The sequence below is a fragment of the Homo sapiens genome, chromosome 1 (assembly GCF_000001405.40).
Source record: "Homo sapiens chromosome 1, GRCh38.p14 Primary Assembly".
Classification (NCBI taxonomy): Eukaryota; Metazoa; Chordata; class Mammalia; order Primates; family Hominidae; genus Homo; species Homo sapiens.
The window spans coordinates 248,188,505-248,212,929 of NC_000001.11; the positions used below are offsets into that span (position 1 = coordinate 248,188,505).

General features: G+C 37.4%; 1 protein-coding gene across 1 annotated transcript; it reads left to right on the plus strand.

The window, feature by feature from the left end:
* Positions 1 to 8,760: 8,760 nt before the first annotated feature.
* Positions 8,761 to 24,421, plus strand: OR2M3 (olfactory receptor family 2 subfamily M member 3). The gene is made up of 2 exons (NM_001004689.2): positions 8,761 to 8,797; positions 14,546 to 24,421. The coding sequence occupies exon 2, from the start codon at positions 14,564 to 14,566 to the stop codon at positions 15,500 to 15,502; it is 939 nt and encodes a 312-aa protein (NP_001004689.1). The 5' UTR covers positions 8,761 to 8,797; positions 14,546 to 14,563; the 3' UTR covers positions 15,503 to 24,421.
* The last annotated feature ends 4 nt before the right edge of the window (positions 24,422 to 24,425 follow it).

Here is a 24,425-nt window from a genome sequence, read left to right on the forward strand (position 1 = left end):
GGGTGAGGCATAGACCAGTGCACCTCCCTCTCTGAGCAGAAGCAGGATGGGACATTGCTTTGCCCGGGTGAGGCATAGACCAGTGCACCTCCCTCTCTGAGCAGAAGCAGGATGGGACATTGCTTTGCCCGGGTGAGGCATAGACCAGTGCACCTCCCTCTCTGAGCAGAAGCAGGATGGGACATTGCTTTGCCCGGGTGAGGCATAGACCAGTGCACCTCCCTCTCTGAGCAGAAACAGGATGGGACATTGCTTTGCCCGGGTGAGGCATAGACCAGTGCACCTCCCTCTCTGAGCAGAAGCAGGATGGGACATTGCTTTGCCCGGGTGAGGCATAGACCCAGTGCACCTCCCTCTCCCAGCCAAGGGAAGCAGTGAGGGACTGTGATACCTGCCCAGGGTACTACGCTTTTCCCACGGATTTTTGCAATCCACAGATCAGGATTCTCCCTTGTGAGCTGACAATACCAGCTCCCTGAGTTTTAGGCACAAAACTGGGTGGCTGTTCGGCTGGCACAGAGCTGCAGTAGTTTTTTTCATGCTCCGGTGGTGCCTGGAACTTCAGTGAGACAGGAGAACTGTCCGCTCCCTGGAAAGGGGGCTGAAGCCAGGGAGCCAATTGGTCTTGCTCAGCGAATCCTACTCCCACAGAGCCCAGAAAGGTAATAACCACTGGCTTGAAATTCTCACTGCCAGAACCTCAGTCTGGAGTCTGCGTGTTTGATAGAGTTTGGTGGGGGGAGGGGCGACCGCCACTACTGTGGCTTTAGTAGGAGGTTTTCTCTTGACAGTGCTGAGAAGAGTGGGAGTTCTGGACTGAACGGAATTCACCGCAGCGCAGCCAAGCGGCTGTGGACAGACTGCCTCTCTAGATTTCTCCTGACCGGGGAGGGCATCTCTGCAGGAGATCCAGCAGCTCCAGTCAGGGGCTGACAGACAGAACTCTCATCTCCCTGGAACAGAGCACTGGGGGAGAGGGGCGGCTGTGGGTGCAGCTTCAGCAGACTTAACCTTTCCTGCCTGCGGGCTCTGAACAGAGCAGCTGATCCTGTCAAGGAGGCTTCTCCCAGCGCAGCACACCAGCTCTGCTAAGGGACAGATGGCCTCCTCAAGCGGGTCCCTGACGCCATGCATCCTGACTGGGAGAGACCTCCCAGGAGGGGTCGAAAGACACCTCATACAAGAGAGCTCTGACTGGCATCAGGCCGGCACCCCTCTGGGACGAAGCTTCCAGGGGAAGTAGCAGGAAGTAATCTTTGCTGTTCTGCAGCCTCCACTGGTGATACCCAGGTGAACAGGGTCTGTAGTGAACCCCCAGCAAACTGCAGCAGACCTCCAGAAGAGGGGCCTGACTGTCAGAAGAAAAACTAACAGACAGAAAGCAGCAGCAACAACAACAACATCAACAAAAAATACTCCCCCTTCACAAAAACCCCATCCAATTGTCATCAGGTTCAAAGATCAAAGGTGGATAAATCCTCCAAGATGAGGAAAATCCAGCCCCCAAACACAGAAATTCCAAAAGACAGAATGTCTCTTTTCCTCCAAATGACTGCAACACCTCTCCAGCAAGGGCAAAGAACTGGATGGAGAGTGAGATGGATGAATTGACAAAACTAGGCTTCAGAAAGTGGGTAAATAACAAACTGCACTGAGCTAAAGGAGCATGTTCTAACCCAATGCAAAGAAGCTAAGAACTGGATAAAAGTTTACAGGAGCTGCTAACTAGAGTAACCAGTTTAGAGAGGAACATAAACACCTGACATAGCTTAAAAACATAGCATAACAACTTCATGAAGCATACGCAAGTATCAGTAACTAAACTTATCAAGTGAAAAAAAGGATACTAGGGTCTAAAGACCATCTTGCTGAAATAAGGCATGCAGACAAAATTAAAGAAAAAGAAGAATAAAAAGGAATGAACAAAACCTCTGAGAAATATGGGACTATGTAAAAAGATGGAATCTACAATTGATTGGAGTACCTGAAAGACATAAGGAGAATGGAACCAAGTTGGAAAACACACTTCAGGATATTATCCAGGAGAGCTTCCCCAACCTAGCAAAACAGGCCAACATTCAAATTCAGGAAATACAGAGAACACCAATAAGATACTCCATGAGAAGATCAACCCCAAGACACATAATCATCAGGTTCTCCAAGGTCAAAATGAGGGAAAAAGGGCAGCCAGAGAGAAAGGTCAGGTCACCTACAAAGGGAGATCCAGCAGACTATTAGCAGATACCTCAGCAGAAACCCTACAAGCCAGAAAAGAGTAAGTTCAACATTCAAGATTCTCAAAGAAAATCATTTTCAATCCAGAATTTTATATCCAGCCAAATTCAGCTTCATAAGTGAAGGAGAAATGAAATGCTTTCCAGACAAGCAACTGTTAAGGTGATTTCATCACCACCAGGCCTGCCTCCCAAGGGGTCCCCAGTGAAGCATTAAATAGAGAAAGAAAAAACGGGTACCAGCCATTGCAAAAACAGACCCAAGTGTGAAGAACAATGACACTATGAAGAAACTGCATCAACTAATGTGCAATATAACCAGCTAGCATCATGATGAGAGGATCAAATTCACACATAACAATATTAACCTGAAATGGAAATGGGCTAGATGCTCCTATTAAAAGACACAGACTGGCAAATTGGATAAAGAATCAAGACCCATTGGTGTGCTGTATTCAGGAGATCCATCTCACGTGCAAAGACACACATAGGCTCAAAATAAAGGGGTGGAGGAAAATTTACCAAGCAAATGGAAAGCAACAACAACAACAAAAAAAAGCAAGGGTTGTACTCTGAGTCTCTGATAAAACAGACTTTAAACCAACAAAGATCAAAAAAGACAAACAAGGGCATTATATAATGGTAAAGGGATCAATGCAACAAGAAGAGCTAACTATCTTAAATATAGATGCAACCAATACAGGAGCACCCAGACTCATGAAATGAGTTCTTAAGAGACCTGCAGAGTGACTTAGACTCCCATACAATAACAGTGGGAGACTTTAACAACCAACTGTCAATATTAGACAGATCAACGAGACAGAAAATTAACAAGGATATCTAGGACTTGAACGTTGCTCTGGATCAAGTGGACCTAATAGACATCTACAGAACTTTCCACCCCAAATCAACAGAATATACATTCTTCTCAGCACCATGTAGCACTTATCCTACAATTGACCACATAATTGGAAATAAAACACTCCTCAGCAAATGCAAAAGAACTGAAATTATAACAGTCTCTCAGACCACAATGCAATCAAATTGGTACTTAAGATAAAGAAACTCACTCAAAACCACACAACTATACAGAAATTGAGCAGCCTGCTTGTCAATGACTCTTGGGTAAATAACAAAATTAAGGCAGAAATCAAGACGTTCTTTGAATCTAATGAGAAGTAAGAGACAACTTACCAGAATCTCTGGGACACAACAAAGCAGTGGTAGGAGGGAAATTTGTAGCACTAAATGCCCACAACAAAAAGCTGGAAATATCTCAAATCGGCAACCAGACGTCACAATTAAAAGAACTAGAGAAGCAAGAGCAAACAAATCCAAAAGTTAGCAGAAGACAAAAAATCACTAAGATCAGAGCAGAACTGAAGAAAATAGAGTCACAAAAAACTCTTCAAAAAATCAATGAATTCAGGAGCTAACTTTTGGAAAAAAATTAACAAAATAGATAGACCACAGGCTAGACTAATAAACAATAAGGAATCAAATACACACAATAAAAAATGATGAAGGGGATGTCACCAATGGCCTCACAGAAATACAAACTACCATCAGAGAATACTATAAAAACCTCTATGCAAATAAACTGGAAAATCTAGAAAAAATGGATAAATTCCTGGACACATACATTCTCCCAGGACTAAACCAGGAAGAAATGAAATCCCTGAATAGACCAATAACAATTCTGAAATTGAGGTAGTAATTAATAGCCTACCATCCAAAAAAAAGTCCATGGTCAGATGGATTCACAGCCAAATTCTACCAGAGGTACAAAGAAGAGCTGGTACCCTAGCTTCTGAAACTATTGCAAATAATTGAAAAGGAGGGACTTCTCTCTAACTCATTTTATGAGATCAGCATCATCCTGATACCAAAACCTGTCAAGGACACAACAACAACAAAAAAAGAAAACATCAGGCCAATATCTCTGATGAACATTGATGTGAATGAAAATCCTCAATAAAATACCAGCAAACAAAATCCAACAGCACATCAAATGCCTCTACAGCCCAATCAAGTCTGCTTCATCCCTGAGATGCAAGACTGGTTCAACATATGCAAACCAGTAAAAGTAATCCATCACAGAAACAGAACCAAAGGAAAAAAAAGTTATTTCTCAACAGATGCAGAAAAGGCCTTCGAGAAACTTCAACATCCCTTTCATGTTAAAAACTCTCAATAAACTAGGTGTTGATGAAACATATCTCAAAATAATAAAAGCTACTTATGACAAACCCATAGTCAATATGATACTGAATGGGCAAAAGCTGAAAGCATTCCCTTTGAAAACCAGCACAAGACAAGGATGTCCTCTCTCACCACTCCTATTCAGTATAGTATTGGAAGTCCTGGCCACAGCAATCAGGCAAGAAAAAAAAAAAAGCATATTTAAACAGGAAGAGAGAAAGTCAAATTGTTTCAGTTTGTGGATGATATGATTCTATATTTAGAAAACCCCATCATCTCAGGTCCAAAACTCCCTAAGCTGATAAGCAACTTGAGCAAAGTCCCAGGATACAAAATAAATGTCCGAAAATCACAAGCATTCCTATACACTAACAATAGAGGCAATTCATGAATTAACTCTCATTCACAATGACTACACAGATAATAAAGTACCTAGGCATACAGCTAACAAGGGATGTAAAGGACCTCTTCAAGGATAACTACAAATCACTCCTCAAGGAAATAGGAGAGGACACAAACAAATGGAAAAACATTTCATCCTTGTGGATAGGAAGAATCTATATCATAAAAATGGCCATATCGAGCAAAGAAATTTATAGATTCAATGCTAATCCCATCAAACTACCATTGACATTCTTCACAGAATTAGAAAAAAACTTCTTTTAATTTCATATGGAACCAAAAAAGAGCCTGTATAGTCAAGACAATCTTAAGCAAGAAGAACAAAGCTGGAGGCATCATGCTACCTGACTTCAAACAATATTGCAAGGCTACCGTAACCAAAACAGCATGGTAGTGGTGCCAAAACAGATATATAGACCAATGGAACAGAACAGTGGCCTCAGAAATAGCACCACACATCTACAACCATCTAATCTTTGACAAACCTGACAAAAAAAGCAATGGGGAAATTATTCCCTTTTTAATAAATGGTGCTGGGAGAGCTGGCTAGCCATAAGCAGAAAACAGAAACTAGACCCCTTCCTTACACCTTATATAAAAATTAACTCAAGATGGATTAAAGACTTAAATGTAAAACTCAAAACCATGAAAACCCTGGAAAAAAACCTAGGCAATACCATTCAGGACATAGGTATAGGCAAAGACTTCATGACAAAAAACACCAAGAGCAATTGCAGCAAAAGCCAAAATTGACAAATGAGATCTAATTAAACTGAAGTGCTTCTGCACAGCAAAAGAAACTAGCATCAGAGTGAACAGGCAACCTATGGAATGGGAACAAATTTTCACAATCTATCCATCTGACAAAGGTCTAACATCCAGAATCTACAAGGAACATAACCAAATTTACAAGAAAAAAACAACCTCATCAAAAAATGGGAGAAGTGTATGAACAGACACTTCTCAAAAAAAGACATTTATGCATCCAACTAACATATGATAAAAAAGCTCATCATCACTTATCATTAGAGAAATCCAAATCAAAACCACAATGAGATACCATCCAACTCCAGTCAGAATGGCCATTATACTTTCTGCAGAAGTAGCTGGGAATGGAGCTGTCCCCCTCCAGTCTCCTCTCCCCTCACCACGGAGCAAATTCTTTGCAGCATAAGAGAATAAACGCATGCGGAAGAGAAGGCGTTTCAGAAACTAGTTTCCAACCGACAGATCCACCTCGTACTTCTGATGCACGGTCACGTGCATTTCTCCTCAAAGGACTTCATCTATAACATCCTCACCATTAAATAAAGACAGGCCTTGTCTACTCTAGGGCAGGGTGAGTAGGTCTGTGAACGTTTTCTGAAAGAATGTGATGAGAAAATTCGAGAAGAGCATGAAGAAATCAAACACAAAACTGGCAGAACAGGATGATGCATTTGTGAAGTTCACGCTTGGTGAAATAATGTGACACTCTGGCGCTGGCTCTTACGTTTCATGACTCACACATTCTGCATTTGCCGCTGCCTTATTCCTGCTGACTTATTGCAAAGGGTCCCAATTTTGACCTGATACAATGCCGGTATCCCTCGGTAAATACAGGTTTTTGCAAGCTTTTGACAATGGCACCCACTCTTACACCCTAGCAACTGGTTTTGGACATTTCCCCGATTTCAGCACCACTTAATGTGGACCTTTGCTACCTATATTAATACAGTTTTGGCTCCTTATTTTAACATGTTTGAAAAGGATTAAAGGGGGTATTCTAAAACATGTTTAGAACATATTTCGCTGGTTGCTTAAATAAAACTAGAATGACAATGCAGAGGACATTAGTGAGATTTTAATTGTGTACTACAACCAGGACATAACCAGTAATAACTGATTGAGAAAGTAATCCCAGGACAATCTGAAGCAAATAGCCACAGCACTTCTTGAGAAATAGTGAAGGAGGAAGCCATTCTGTATTCCAGGACTTCTTGGGCATTCAGAATAGGCTTATGGTTTTTTAAGAGTTTTATTTATTTTACCAGTCTTTCAAACAAATGTATATTGCTGCACTTTTGTCCCAGTACATCATTGTTTTACCTCTTTCGAAGTACTGGAATTTAGCTGGAAGGATGAAACATTTACTTCTAAAATAAAGAAAGGAGAGTATTTAACCAAAAATGTAGGCTTCTGTTATCTCTAGAGGCAAATAATAAATAACATACATTCAGGTTATGTGCGCACAGACATCTATTAATCTGTAATATTTTATTTATTATTTTGTTTTATTTTTATATGGTATATTTTATATTTGAGATGGGGTCTTGCTCTGTCGCTGAGGCTGGAGTGCAGTGGCGCAATCTCAGCTCACTGCAATCTCCACCTCTCAAGTTCAAGCGATTATCCTGCCTTAGCCTCCTGAGTAGGTGGGACAGGCCTGAGCCACCATGCCCTGCTAATTTTTGTATTTTCAGTTGAGATGGGGTTTCACCATATTGGCCAGGCTGGTCTCGAACTCCTGGCCTCAAGTGATCCACCTGCCTTGGCCTCCCAAAGTGCTGGGATTACAGGCGTGAGCCACTATGCCCAGCCTGTAATATTTTATTTTAAGCTGGTGATGGGTACATTGGTGTTTTATTTGTTTTATACATTGTCATCCACTGAAATATTTCTAAATATACAAATAGCTATCCTTGTAATTCAGGCTATGAACAATTTAAGAAAAACAATAACATTATCTCAGTAAAAACAGGATATCATTCAATACAATTCAGTGAACATTTATTGAAGAAAGCATTGGTAAAAGAAATACAATGGGATTTTGCTAATGTGCTGAATACACCTACCAAAACCTCAAACAAACACTATATGTCATGGTGAACTATATCGCTAAAGGCTTCAGGTACTCAAGAATATTGTTCTTCAACATTTTAAATATATATATTTTAATCAAATGATGCAAGGAAAATAGATAAAATTGGAAAGACATATAAAGTTGTTTCATCCATTGTATGTAATATTTTTCTCTTCACTAAGGAATACAAAAAAATTACCATTCTTGGATTCAAGGTCTATAAGCAACAATTAACAGATTTCTATATATTAACAAAAACAAATAGAAGATGTAATAGAAACAATAATCCATACACTAGAGCAACGAAATATAAAATACCTATAAACATTTCAATTTTATAATGACTTTGACAGAAAATATATACAGGCGTTTTAAGGGATAGAAAACATACTAAAGAACATACAAATAGAATTAGAATTATGTAGGGAACTTTAAGATGTTAAAAATGCCAATTCTACCCAAACATATCTTGCTTTGATGATGGAGCAGAAGGAAGAGTGAAGAGAAACCATGGAAGAGGAATGATATTAGCCTGGAACACCCTGACTGCCATTCTCTAGCTCTGAGACGTCAATTTACTTCTGCCCTCAGTTTCACATGTAAAACATACGACAATATAATTAAATATATTATATAATAATATATACATGTGTCTAATAGGGGTATCTGGCATACACAATGGTTGTAAGTATTATGTTAATTTACAAACCTTTTTTTTTTAAACATAGTGCCAGTTACACAGAAAGCACTTAGTGTGTTTCACCTCATCATGTGAGAGAGAGGGGGAAGTTTCAGAAAGTTCACCCTAATCTACAAGGAAGGAGGCGTAATTATCTTTGTAGTATTTTCAAGAAAAGGAAGCTAATTCGGCTTCATGTCCTAGGAGAGGAGACAGAAGGAAATACAAACTTTTAAAATTAAAGACAAGGGAATGGATTCCCCAAGGGCTGAAAATTTAAGTTTTTGTCTTTTCATTTATTTTTCAATAACCATAAAGATTCCAACTGTACGTTAGGTGCTTTTTTTTCTTATTATGGAAACATAAAACCTGTAAGATATTTATATATTTTTGCCTTTCCAGGAAACCACAATCTCACTGAAAATATACACTATTCAGGTAAGTACTAAGAGGTAAGTTAACCAAGCGCAAGCATGACTTTGTATAAGCTAGTGCTGAAATTTCTGCTGAACATGGTGATGATTGATCTCATTTCTTAAGTCATTTTTTGTGCTAAGAATTTTATAAACATTATTCTATTTTATCTGTACAATATTACTTTGAGAAATGTGGTACAATCTGAGGCAGAAGGAGTGGTTACTTGCTCCAGCTTATCAGTGTGAAAGATTGGATAAAATCCATTACTTTTGTTTTTCCATGTCCTGGTATTCCAGATTTGAAAAAGAAATTGACAGTGAATAGATGTCAGAGGAGAAGAGTAGCAGATGAGAACCATAAACAATGATTTGAAAATTTTGGCCACGTTCTCTTTTCTTTTAATAATTTTAGCTCATGCAGGATGAGAATTCCTAAACCAAAATCTAATACCCAAAGCACTCCAAAATCAGAACCTTTTCAGTGCTGACATGAGATGGTGACACTTTTGCTTCCTGATGGTTCACAAACTTTCTCCCATACACAAAATTGTTTTAAAATACTGCATAAAATTACCTTCAGGCTATTTGTATAAGGTATACATAGAACATAAATTTTTTCCTTACACTTGGTTCTATTCCAAAAAAATCTCATTATTAGCTATGCAGATATTCCAAAGTGTGAAAAAGAATCTGAAATCTGCAACACGTCTGGTCCCAAGCATTTTGGATAAGGAATCCTCAACCCGTATTAATGAATGCTTTACATTTGTCATGTATTCTTTTAAGACGTTTACACCTATTTTTAAAATATTTTATTAAACTTCAGAGTATAAAATGTTTATTTACAAAAATATGTTAGATATACATTTTGTAAAATGCTTTAAAATATTACCAGTGCCTTTGAAAAACAGTTTAACTCTCTCTGATTATATAACTTTTCAGGCCCATTTTGTAGGTAGTCATTATTCCAGTATTGCTGTGCTTCATAAGTGATTTTTAGATGTGTGTTTAAATTACTCATAATAGGATTCATGAGGGCATTCCTTGTGATCTACTTTGTTCATTCAACATTCTATTTGTGAGACTCATCAATGCTACTTCTTGTAGTTATGCTTATAAATTCCATCGTTAGTGCACATGCAGGTTGCATTTTTATATTACATATAAAGTTGCTATGCTCATTTTTGCTAATATGAGAGATTTGTTGTTTTGTGTTGTTTCCTGATCATTCCTATTACAAAAGGGTAAAGTCAGTTTAGCAACCTCAGTGGATTACACAGTGGATTACACATGCTGTCTGATACATAATGCTTTACAACTTTTTTGATCAAATTCTGGCCACTCAGTGTCTCTTTTCCATCATCTCCCTCAGTGACTTCTCAATTTCTCAACAAGATTTTCATGGTTTCTGTGTTACTATTGCTCTGGCAGGTGTAGAGTATCACAGTGTCATGAAATCTCATCATGATTTTCATAATTTCTGTGTTGGCATTGCTCAGGCATGTGCACAGTATCACAGTGTCATGAAATATGACCATGAATTTCATAACTTCTGTGTTACTATTGCTCTGGGCCTGTGCACAGTACCACAGTGTCATGAAATCTGATGATGATTTTCATGGTTTCTATGTTACTATTGCCCTGGGTATGTGCAAATGTCACAGTGTCATGAAATATGACCATGATTTTCATGACTTCTGTGTTACTATTGCTCTGGGCCTGGGCACAGCACCACAGTGTGATGAAATCTGATGAGTCGTCTTCCTGATGTGATAAGATTCATACATAAAAATAATTTTTAATATTAAATATATGCACCATCTTTTTACAAAACAATGAAGTTTATTACAAAAGAAACATAGTAGATTAGATGAAATAAATAAAAATGGAAGCACAATATTACAATTAAGAAAAAAATACTTGGCAGGCAATGTCTAATCCAGAGTTCAAAATGTTGTACCTCATTATGTGAATACTTTTGATATGCCAGTGGGTATTCTGAAAAAAATAAAATAAACAAGATGTCATAATTTCAGATCCTTTCTGAAAAAGCTGCCTTTTTTATTCCTCTTAATACAGTGCTGCAACTCAAAATATTCTGGTTTTTTTTGACAGTGAATAGTCCTGAGTAACTTGGAGTTGCAAAAAATATTTCGCCACAGGTCCATTTTTATAAGACTACATACAAATACCTCTTTGAATCCCAATTTTATCTTTACTGCATTTTCAGATTGTTTATATCCTGGATAACTTACAATGACTTTCAGAGTTGGATCTCATATTCCTAGTGCCTAAATTAAGCACAATCTGTCATATGTGTCTTACTAACTTAGAAGAAATATTTAATTTCCTCATGAGTAACACATTAGTTCTTTTTATAGAATTTTATTGAATAAATATTCACATGGATCTTAATACTAAAGGTACAGGGCAATGTAATAGTCAATATTTTCAATTTTGTGACTTCTAAATTTTTATAAATTTATGATATACCTTGCCATATTCTCCGTGACAGGGCAAACTCAATGAAGACAATTTTAGCACATGGATATGAAGGAGGTGAAAAATACAACACAAATAATAGTGCATTTATATAAGTTCAGCCTAAACTAATGTAACTGAGAAAATTCAGAGGGATATGTAGATTTACACTTGTTATTCAATTTTGTTTTAATGCTTCATGATTCAGTGGAGTTTAAAACATATGTGGTGGAAATGGATAAATGATGGAGTAGAATTATTCAACATTTTATGTCAATTTGGTGACTGGGAAGGAATGATTCTCAAATGTAAAGAACACTTTGCCAACTTAAAAAGAAGCATAGGAACAAGCTAACTTGACAAGACAGCTTCCTTCTTGGAGTAATATTGCAGACCTACTTAAAGAAAAATTATGGTGGAACTTTGAGGTAATATAGTTTTGTTTGCATAAATTAGTGTATTACAACAGTTGACAACTTCAAGGTAACTGGGAAGGCTATGGTATAATGGTCAGAATAGGTGGTTCCATAAAGTAAGTTGAGACGAGTTATTTTCTTAAGATGAATTAAGCTCATAGGCACTGAAAATTATTGAGGCAATACAAAGTCTTTCCCCCTGATTGACTTTAAAAGCCTACCTCCTCTTGAAGACAACACAAGGGAACCCTGTGGTAGGAAACCCCCAACACTGAAGATCCCAGAGATGCCCATTTCTCATTCTCAAGACATTGACTGGACCTAGATCTGAGCTACCAATAATCAGCTTTATCCAACTTCTTGGTAACCATTTGTTTTAACACCAGAAAGGGAGGAGGTTGAGGCCTGTTTCTCTCTTTATACTGATTGACAAAAATGATTTGTTTTTCTTTTAGAGATTGCTATCCTATCTCATGAGTGTCACTTAAGGAGATTCCTTCTGCATCTTCCCAGCCCTTAAGAGGCATTTCTTAGTATTCCCAGGTCAAAGTTGTCCTTGGGTTAAAATTTAACATTACTTTTGAGTATTTTTTTCTTACACACAATATTATTCAAAATTTATATAAATAAATAAAAGTCAAAAAGATATACTTTACTATCTCCCTATTTAAAAAGTTTTATCTCAACTCATGAGGCCAAATTCCAGATTCCGTCTCCTCTGTAGATTTCTTCCAACTCCCTTGCTCTTCCTAGATTATTCAGCTTTCATTGTTGTTGTTGTTTTCAGTCTCTTCATAAAAATGTGACGCATGAATAAATGAGAAAATGTACATTTCTGTCTAATAAGTCTACTCACCAGGCTTCTTTTTCTGTTTAGAACATAATTTTTTACTGCCTGGGATAATCTCCCTTCACATATTGGCTTTGCTCATACATTTATAATTATCTCATACAATAAAATCTAAATGCCACAACATACGAGAAACATAATTCTAAATTTTAAAACCCTGTGTTTTCTCAAAATCTTATACACATTTCTATTTTTTTCTGTGTATGTTCTATTTATGCATTTCAGTTTGTGGAATTCCTATTTGGATAACCCTTTCCTGTGATCTGGTCTCTTTCTCACTTCCTCAGTGTCTTTGCCAAATGCCATTATAAGTGTGAGGTTTCCCTTGACTACTCTATTCAAAGTTGAACATACTCATGCAATTCTAATGCCCTTCTTTAACTAAGTTTTCTCCAAAGCATTTATCCTCTTTTTTTATTATTTTTATTATTATTATACTTTAAGTTTTAGGGTACATGTGCACAATGTGCAGGTTAGTTACATATGTATACATGTGCCATGCTGGTGTGCTGCACCCATTAACTCGTCATTTAACATTAGGTATATCTCCTAATACTATCCCTCCCCCCTCCCCCAACCCCACAACAGTCCCCAGAGTGTGATGTTCCCCTTCCTGTGTCCATGTGCTCTCATTATTCAATTCCCATCTATGAGTGAGAACATGCGGTGTTTGGTTTTTTGTCCTTGCGATAGTTTACTGAGAATGATGATTTCCAATTTCATCCATGTCCCTATAAAGGACATGAACTCATCATTTTTTATGGCTGCATAGAATGATGAGGCTGCATTTATCCTCTTATAACATAAATTGTTTTATATGTCATCATCTGATCACACTCACTGTGACCTGTATGCACAGGGACTTTGTTCTGATCACTGTGGTAGCCACAGTGGTCAACACGTAGCCAGGCTTCATAAGTGTGGTTGGAAAGAGTGGATTTCATGCTTTTCTGAATTTCTGTTTTTGTATGTACTCATTCTCTAGAGGAGATATTGGATGTATTAGTTTCCTAGGAATGCCAATACAGTATCACAAACTGGTTACCTAAAACAACAGAATTTTATTCTCTCACAGTTTTGGAGGCTAGAAATCTGAAATCAAGATGTCACCAGGGTTGGTTACTTCTGAGGGCTCTAAGCAGATGAATCTGTCCCATTCCTCTCTCCCAGGTTCTTGTCATAACTAACAGTTGTTGACATTTCTTGGTTTGCAGATGCACCACTCTAATCCCTGCCTCCCCCATCACACGGTAATCCCCAGTGTCTCAGTCTTTGCATGGCCACCCTCTTATCAGAACATGAGTCATAACTGATTAGAGAAACCCACTCTAATCCAATATGATCTCACCTTAACTAGTTACACTCTTTATGTATTTCCAAACAAGCTCACATGCTGAGTATCTTTTTGGGAAGAAATACAACTCAATCCGTAACACTGGGCTATGGAAAAAATGGCCTAGGTTTTAGATTTGTATAATTGAAAATCTTTTCAGTGTATCCAATTACTGTATAGAAAACTTACTACAAAGTGTACATCAAACACTCTAAAGTAATAGACAAACAGATTTTGTTAACACTCCTAGTAAAAATGTCTACTATTATGTGAGCAAAGGCACACATTTATTCTCCATTTCTAGTACTGTGATGGTCACATGCTGACTGAAGCTGAATTTCTCTATCAATGTGTCTGTAAAAGACTTCTAATTTTATAGGAACTATCTGTTTCCCTTGGAGACTTTAAAAAAAAAAAAACTCCATCCATTATTTATTAGATACTATAATTCTAATTTTTCAATGGAGAAAGGGGATGCTCAGAAGAAAACCTTAGGACAAGCTCTATAATTTCGTGAGACAGTGTTGAAAGAACATATTTCGTTCAGATTCTATATTTCTTGACCTTTTAGTTTCCTACTTCTATTCATGCTGTATTGATCACCCAACTACAGAAGTTACCACAATCACATGATTTATAAGGCACTGAGTAAAGTTTTACCAAATTAATACGCTGGTTTTGTGGTACTAGGTAAAAAGCATACACATCATGGCAAGGGAGAATTCGACCTTCAACTCCGACTTCATCCTCCTGGGAATCTTCAATCACAGCCCCACCCACACCTTCCTCTTCTTTCTGGTCCTGGCCATCTTTTCAGTGGCCTTCATGGGAAACTCTGTCATGGTTCTCCTCATCTACCTGGACACCCAGCTCCACACCCCCATGTACCTCCTCCTCAGCCAACTGTCCCTCATGGACCTCATGCTCATCTGCACCACCGTACCCAAGATGGCCTTCAACTACCTGTCTGGCAGCAAGTCCATTTCTATGGCTGGTTGTGCCACACAAATTTTCTTCTATACATCACTGCTTGGCTCTGAGTGCTTTCTTTTGGCTGTTATGGCTTATGACCGCTACACTGCCATTTGCCACCCTCTAAGATACACCAATCTCATGAGCCCTAAAATTTGTGGACTTATGACTGCCTTTTCCTGGATCCTGGGCTCTACGGATGGAATTATTGATGTTGTAGCAACATTTTCCTTCTCCTACTGTGGGTCTCGGGAAATAGCCCACTTCTTCTGTGACTTCCCCTCCCTACTAATCCTCTCATGCAGTGACACATCAATATTTGAAAAGATTCTTTTCATCTGCTGTATAGTAATGATTGTTTTCCCTGTTGCAATCATCATTGCTTCCTATGCTCGAGTTATCCTGGCTGTCATTCACATGGGATCTGGAGAGGGTCGTCGCAAAGCTTTTACTACTTGTTCCTCTCACCTCTTGGTGGTGGGAATGTACTATGGAGCAGCTTTGTTCATGTACATACGGCCCACATCTGATCGCTCCCCAACACAGGACAAGATGGTGTCTGTATTCTACACCATCCTCACTCCCATGTTGAATCCCCTCATCTACAGCCTCCGCAACAAGGAGGTGACCAGAGCATTCATGAAGATCTTAGGAAAGGGCAAGTCTGGAGAGTGAGTTACCTAATAAACTTCATGTTTTGCTGTGTGCTAAATCCTTTTTTTAAATGGTCCTATTTTTCCATTAAGCCTTGAAAATGGGATTCATTGTGTACATAAATCTGCAATGACATATTTATGTGCACCTATATAATTTATTTCAGATAAACTATTATAACTATTTATTATTTTATATTCATTTCTGCTATGACCACAATGTAAGTCATTTCCAATAAGAATATTAAAGTTTTAAAAATTATTTTTAATTTCCATAGGTTTTTGGAGAACAGGTAGTGTTTGGTTTTATGAATAAGTTCTTTAGTGATGATTTCTGAGATTTTGGTGCACCCATCACCCAAGCAGTATTCACTGTACCCAATGTGTAGTCTTTTATCACTTGTCATTCCCCGTATTTCCCTCATGTCCCCAAAGTCCAGTGTATCATTCTTATGACTTTTTGTCTCATAGTTTAGTTTCAACATATGAATGTGAACGTATGATGTTTGGTTTTTCATTCCTGAGTTACTTTACTTAGAATAATAGTCTCTAATTCCATCCCAGTTGCTGTGAATGCCATTATTTTGTATTTTTTATGACTGAGTAGTATTCCATGGTATGTGTGTATATAGATATATATATATATACGTATATATATACACACACACATATATATATATAACCTTTTCTTTATCCACTCGTTGATTGATGGGCATTTGGACTGGTTCCATATTTTTGCAATTGCAAATTGTGCTGCTTTATACATGCATGTGCAGGTATCTTTTTTGTATAATAACTTCTTTTCCTCTGTGTAGTTAGTAGTGGTATTGCTAGATCAAAAGGTAGATCCACTTTTAGTTCTTTAAGGAATGTTCACACTGTTTTTTACAGTGGTTGAACTAGTTTGCATTCCCACCAGCAGTGTAAAAGTTCCCTTTTGACCGCATCCACACCAGCATCTATTATTGTTTGATTGATTATGGCCATTCTTGCAGAAGTGAGGTGGTATTGCATTGTGGTTTTGATTTGCATTTCCCTGATAATTAGTGATGTCAAGCATTTTTCTAGATGCTTGTTGGCTATTTATATATATTTATATATCTCCTTTTGAGAATTGTCTATTCATGTCCTAGGCCCACTTTTTGATGGGATCATTTGTTTTCTTCTTGCTGATTTGTTTGAGTTCTTTGTAGATTCTGGAAATTAATCCCTTCTCAGATGTATAAATTGTGAAGATTTTCTCCCACTCTATGGGTTGTCTATTTACTCTGCTGACCGTTCCTTTTGCAGTGCAAAAGGTCTTTAGTTTAATTAGTTCCCAGCTATTTATCTTTGTTTTTATTGCATTAGTTTTTGGGTTCTTGCTCATGAAACCCTTGCCTAAGCCAATGTCTACAAGGATTTCTCTGATGTTATCTTCTGGAATCTTTATGTTTTCAGTACTTAGATTTAAGGTTTTTATCCATCTTGAGTTGATTTTTGTATAAGGTGAGCGATGAGGATCCAGTTTCATTCTTCTACATGTGGCCTGTCAGTTAGCCCAGCACCATTTGTTGAATATGGTGTTCTTTCCCCCACTTCATGTTTTTGTTTGTGTTGTTGAAGATCAGATGGCTGTAAGTATTTTGGTTTATTTCTGGGTTCTCTATTCTGTTTTGTCTGTCTATGTCTCTATTTTTATCCAGTACCATGCTGTTTTGGTGACTATGGCTTTATAGTATAATTTGAAGTTGGGTATGTGGTGCCTCCAGATTTGTTCTTTTTGCTTATTCTTGCTATGGCTATGCAGGACTTTTTTATTCCATATGAATTTTAGGATTGTTCTTTCTAGTTCTGTTAAGAAGGATGGTGATATTTTAGTGGGAATTGCATTGAATTTGTAAATTGCTTTTGGCAGCATGGTCATTTTTACAATATTGTTTCTACCCATCCATGAGTATGGGATGTATTTCCATTTATTTGTGTTGTCAATGATTTTTTTCAGCAGTGTTTTGTATTTTTCCTTGTAGAAGTCTTTCACATCCTTGGTTAGGTATACTCCTTAATATTTTGTGTTGTTGTTGTTATATTATTTGCTTCTGTCATGAAAGGGTTGAGTTCTTGATTTGATTCTCAGCTGGTTGCCATTAGTATATAGCAGAGCTACTGATTTGTGTACATTAATTGTGTGTCCTGAAACTGTTGAATTTATTTACCAGTTCTAGGAGCTTTTTAGATGAGCCGTTAGGGTTTTCTATGTATTCCATCGTATCATCAGCAAACAGCGACAGTTTTCCTTTCTCTTTACCATTTTGGATGTCCTTTATTTCTTTCTCTTGTCTGATTGCTCTAGCTAGGACTTTCAGTATTATCTTGAACAGACATGGTGAAAGTGGACATCCTTGTCTTGTTCCAGTTCTCAGGGGGAATGCTTTCCAATTTTCCCCTTTCAGTATAATGTTTGCTGTGGATTTCTCATAGAAGGCTTTGATTACCTTAACGTCACCTCTATGTCCCTTCGTGTTGATTTTGCTTAGAATTTTAATTGTAAAGGGATGTGGGATTTCATCAAATGCTTTTTCTCTGTCTATTGAGATGATCATGTGATTTTTGTTTTTAATTCTGTTTATGTGGTGTATCATATTTATTGACTTATGTATCTTAAACCATCCCTACATCCCTGGTATGAAACTCACTTAATTATGGGTGGATTAGCTTTTCGATATGCTGTGGGATTCAGTTCTCTAGTATTATGTTGAGGATTTTTGCATCTATGTTCATCAGGGATATTGGTCTGTAGTCTGTAGTTTTCTTTTTTTGTTATGTCTTTCACTGGTTTTGGTATTAGGGTGACAGTGGCTCCACAGAATGATTTACAAAGGATTCCCTCTTTATCCTTTGGAATAGTGTCAATAGGATTGGTATTAATTCTTCTTTGAATGTCTGATAGAATTCAGCTGTGAATCTGTCTGGTCCTGGACTTTTTTTTGGCAATTTTTTTCATTACAATTTCAGTCATGCTGCTTGTTACTGGTCTGATCAGAGATTCTATATCTTCCTTTTTTAATCCAGGAGGGTTGTATAGTTCCAGGAATTTGGTTATCTCTTCCAGGTTTTTTAGTTTATCTGCACAAAGGTGTTCATAGTAGCCTTGATTAATCATTTGTATTTCTATGGAATCAATTGTAATATCTCCCTTTTCATTTCTAATTGTGTTTATTTGCATCTTCTCTATTCTTTTTTGGTTAATCTTGCTAATGGTCTATCAACTTTATTCGTCTTTTTAAAGAACTAGCTTTTTGTTTCATTTATCTTTTGTATTTTTTTTGTTTCAATTTCATTTAGTTCTGCTCTGATCTTCATTATTTCTTTTCTTCTTCTGGGTTTGGGTTTGGATTGTTCTTGTTTCTCCTGTTCTGTGAGGTGCGACCTAAGATTATCTCTTTGTGCTGTCTCAGACTTTTTGATGTAGGCATCTAATGGAATGAACTTTCCTCTTAGCACTGCTTTTGCTGTATCCCAGAAGTTTTGCTAGGTTTTGTCACTATTATCATCCAGTTCAAAGAATTTTTAAATTTCCCTCTTGATTGCAATGTTGTCCCAATAATCATCCAGGAGCAGGTTATTTAATTTCCATGTATTTGCAAGGTTTTGAGGGTTCCTTTTGGAGTTGATTTTCAATTTTATTCTACTGTGGTCTGAGACAGTACTTGATATAATTTTGATTTTCTTAAATTCACTGAGACTTGTTTTTTGGCCTATCATATGGTCTATCTTGGAGAATGTTCTGTGTACTGATGAATAGAATATATACTCTGCAGTTGCTTAGTAGAATGTTCTGTAAATATCTGTTAATCCCATTTCTTGTAGCATATAGTTTAAGTGCATTGTTTCTTTTTTTACTTTCTGTCTTAAAGACCTGTCTAGTGCTCTCAGTGGAGTATTGAAGTCCCCCACTATTATTGCATTGTCATCTATCTCCTTTCTTAGGTCTAGTAGTAATTGTTTTATAAATTTGAGAGTTCCACTGTTATGTGCAAATATATTTTGGATTGTAATATTTTCCTGTTAGACTAGCCCTTTTATCATTACAAAATGTCCCTCTTTGTCTTTTTTTAACTGCTCTTGCTTTAAAGTTTGTTTTTTTCTAATATAAGAATATCTATTCCTGCTTGCTTTTGGTGTCAATTTGCATGGAATATGTTCTTTCACCCCTTTAACTTAAGTTTATGTGAGTCCTTATGTGTTTGGTGAGTTTCCTGAAGATGCACAAACTTGGTTGGTGAATTCTTATCCATTCTGCCATTCTGTATTTTTTAAGTGGAACATTTAGGCCACTAACATCAATGTCGGAATTGAGATGTGAGGTACTATTCTATACATCGTGCTATTTGTTACCTGAATATCTGAAGTTTTTTTGTTTGTTTTCATTATGTTATTGTTATATAGGTCCTGTAATATTTATGCTTTAAGGAGGCTCTATTTGGTGTATTCCAAGAATTTGTTTCAAGGTTTAGAGCTCCTTTCAGCAGTTCTTGTTGTGCAGGCTTGATAGTGTTGAATTCTCTCAGCATTTGTTTGTCTGAAAAAGATGGTGCCTTTCCTTCATTTCTGAAGCATAGCTTCGCTGGATACAAAATTCTTAGCTAATAATTATTTTATTTAAGGAGGCTGATGATAGGGCGCCAATCCCTTCTAGCTTGTAGGGCTTCTGCTAATAAATCTGCTAATAAATCTGCTATCAATGTGATAGGTTTTTCTTTACAGGTTACCTGATGCTTTTCTCTCACGGCTGACATTTTTTCCTTTGCCTTGACTTTAGATAACTTGTTATGTACCTAGGGAATGATCTTTTTGTCATGAATTTCCCAGGTGTTCTTTGAGCTTCTTGAGTTTGGATGTTTAGATCCAGCAAGGCTGGTAGTAATTTTCCTCTATTATTCCTTCAAATATATTTTCCAGACTTTTAGATTTCTCTTCTTCCTCAAGAACACCAATTATTCTTAGGTCCGGACATTTGACATAGTATCAAACTTCTTGGAGGCTTTGTTTTTAGGTTTTTTTTCTTGTCTTGAATGAACTGGGTTAATTTGAAAGCCTTGTCTTCAAGCTCCGAGGTTCTTTCTTCTGCTCGTTGGATTTTATTGGTGAGAATTTCCAGTGCATTTCACATTTCTCTAAGTGTGTCCTTGATTTTTAGAAGTTGTGAGTGTTTTTATTTATGCTGTTTATTTCACTGAAGAATTTTTCTTTTATTTTCTGTATCATGATTTTTATTTCTTTACATTAGACTTCACTTTTCTTTGGTGCCTCTTTGATTAGCTTAATAATTGGCAATACTTTTTCTGGCAATTCAGAGATTTCCTCTTCGTTTGGATCCATTGGTGGTGAACTGGTGTGATCTTTTGGGGGTATTACAGAACCTTGTTTTATCATATTACAGAATTTTTTTTTCTGGTTCCTTCTTATTTGGGTAGACTATGTCAGAGGGAAGACCTGGGATTCAAGTTCTGCTGTTCAGTGTCTTTTGTCCCACTGAGTGCTCCCTCGATGTGGTGTTCTCATTCCCCTAGGAATGAGGCTTCCTGAGAGCCAAACTGTAGTGGCTGTCTAGCCACACAGTGGAGCTACCAGGTTCCATACTGGTACTTGGGAGTGTCTGCAAAGATCCTGTAATATGATCTGTCTTCAGGTCTTGCAGCCATGGATACCAGTTCCTGCTCCAGTCGATGTAGCAGGGGAGTGAAAGGAACTCTGCTAGGGTCTTTGGTTGTGTTTTTGTTTATTGTGCTGCTTGTTTTGTTGGCCTTCAGCCAGGAGGTAGTGCTTTCCAGAGTGCATCAGCGGCCCTTAGGGAGGATGCAAACTTGCCCTAGGGACACCTGGTCAAGTATTCAGGTTTCTCAGGTGATGGGTGAGGCCATAGAGGTAACAAGAGATTATGACGTTTGTCTTCAGCTACCAAGGTGGATAGAGAAAGACCACCAGGTCAGGGTAGGGATGGCTGTGTCTGAGTTCAGCCTCTTCTTGGGTGGGGCTTGCTGCTGCTGCTGCTGTGGCAGATGGGGGTGTGGTTTCCAGTCCATTGGAGTTATATTCCTAGGGAGATTATGGCTGCCTCTGCTGCAACACATAGGTCACCAGAAAAGTGGGAGAAAGCCGGCAGTCACCAGCTTCACTCAGCATCCACACAGCCCACAGTCCTAAAGGCCAGTCGTGCTCCCACCGTGCCCACACAACAGCACCAAGTCTATTTCCAGGCAGCTGGTGACCAGGGCTGAGAATTTGCCCCAGACCATGAGCCTCTCTGTTGAGAAAGCAAACAGACTCACAGGTTTTCATTGTCTCAGGGAGCCTGCAGTGGTGATCCAGTTCCTTCAAAGGATCTGTGGATTCTCTCAGCTTTCCTGGTATGTTACTGCAGTAGTTCTTGGCACAAAATTTCACAATGTGAGTTTCCATACGGTATTCTGTGTCAGGCCTCTGAGCCCAAGTTAAGCCATCATATCCCTTGTGACCTGCACGTATACATCCAGATGGCCTGAAGCAACTGAAGATCCACAAAAGAAGTGAAAATAGCCTTAACTGATGACATTCCACCATTGTGATTTGTTTCTGCCCCACCCTAACTGATCAGTGTACTTTGTAATGTCCCCCACCCTTAAGAAGGTTCTTTGTAATCTCCCCCACCCTTAAGAAGGTTCTTTGTAATCTCCCCAACTCTTAAGAAGGTTCTTTGTAATTCTCCCCACCCTTGAGAGTGTACTTTGTGAGATCCACCACCTGCCCCCAAAACATTGCTCCTAACTCCACTGCCTATCCCAAAACCTGTAAGAACTAATGATAATCCCACCACACTTTGCTGATTCTCTTTTCGGACTCAGCCCACCTGCACCCAGGTGAAATAAACAGCCTTGTTGCTCACACAAAGCCTGTTTGGTGGTCTCTTCACATGGACACTTGAGACACTCTGTCCATCTGAGTGGGAGCTGCAAGCTAGTCCTGCCTCCTATCCACCATCTTAATCCTAGTCAGGACATTAAAGTTTTCTGTTTATTCAGTATCATAAATGTTGAAGTATGCACCAAGGTAGCAAACAAATCTTCTTTTCCCAGGGTATAAACTCAAAATTTTATTGAGACTCTTGAAACTCACTTTGGAGTAAAAGTTAATACACTGGACTTTTACATTTTTAGTCTGTATTTTATAGTCATTTTTATTTTGGGGGGACTCTTGGAGATGCTGCTGTGACTTCAACCCAGGTGACATCTTAACATTTGATCTCTAATTACTTCCATCACAAAAAGTTAACTTTTATTATGGGATCCCAGATCCAAATTTCTTTCAAGTTGTTAAAATTCATCTAAGCTTCACACACTGATCCAACAGAGAAATTGTTTCATTATTTAAATTCTCAGTGGATAGATAATTTACATGTGCCCCTAAACTGCACAATGATACTTAAACATTTTATTAATAATTACAGGACTTATATTGAAATTTAGAATATAAGTAAATGTTTCTGAATTTTCAAATGTAAGTATATTTTTACATAATAGTAATTTTTTTTTTTTTTTAATTACAGAGTCTCGCTCTGGGGCCCAGGCTGGAGTGCGGTGGTGCGATCTTGGCTCACTGCAACCTCCTCCTTCCGGGTTCAAGCAATTCTCCCTGCCTCAGCCTCCCAAGTAGCTGAGACTACAGGGGCCTGCTAATCTCTCAGGGCCCATGCGAAATCTATCTCAATCAAAAGTGCATTATTCTTAGAAGCAGATATTACAAAATTTAATTTCCTAATTTGGCCAAGTGGCATGGGCTGAGCTAATTTTTGTATTTTTCAGTAGAGATGGGGTTTTGCCATAAAATAAAATTGTAATAACTCTATTGCTGTCACATTCCCTATAAGGAAAATCATTTAATCTTAGTTGCACAGGCTTTATTTATATTATTGATTCACAAGAGAATCAAATTTTTCTAAAATTGGTCAATTGTTTTAGCATTTCTGCTCTTTGAATAGGATTAGAGTTTATGGAACAATGTAAAATCCTATAATATATTTCCAGTCTTTGAAGTCCTTTTAAAGAAAATCATGTCCAGCATATAGATTAAGTGGTCAAATAGATATTTCCACAGTGGCTCAAAGTAATACATAAAGAGAATAACATTTAGACTTTATTACATGACTACAGTACATGTGCCTTACCTTGAAATAAATAGTGAAACTGTACATGAAACAAGAAGTATACTAATAGCCATCAAATATTTTAAATATTAATTCATAATGCTATACATTAATGACTCTAGAATATGCATCACAACCATTTATATATTAGGTAGAAAGAAAGAAAGAAAATATTCAATAATCCTTATCTTTTTAACAATTAAGCAAAATGCATAATTAATTATAGTTATCTTAAATCACTTGGCCAAATAAGGAAAATAAATTTTGTAAAACCTGCTTCTAAATATAATGTACTTTTTATTAAGATAGATTCATTTATATCCACAGATCTATGGTTATACTGAAGTATAGATAATTTAATTCAGGCCAAAAACTGATTTTTAAAAACTCATATGGTTTCTAAATTATCCAAATTATTTTCTAACTTAGTTTTTTTTTCTTTTTCTTGGTCTGGTATTAAAGAAGCATTTTCCAAAAGTTATTGTTTTATAATTTTAAACATAATTTTTTTCTAAGTTAATTGAAATTACTGATAAGGAAAATGAATAAAGACACTATTTAAATTTATGCTGGCTATGAAAAACAGAAACCAGGCTCCTGTCTTTGTTTCCAGTCTCACCTACTTTCAGCAGACAGGACAATATTTATTCTACAGAGTGTTGTTTTACAACATCCTATGTGAACTCATTTCTCTTTTGAACTCACTGTTACTAATAATTTAACATGTTTTTACATCATTTTGTTTTATTCATATTATAAAGGATTATATATCTGTTGTGGGTGT

Excerpts from the sequence above, each read along its gene's own strand:
- OR2M3 (NM_001004689.2), top strand. The coding sequence starts at position 14,564 with ATGGCAAGGGAGAATTCGACCTTCAACTCCGACTTCATCCTCCTGGGA.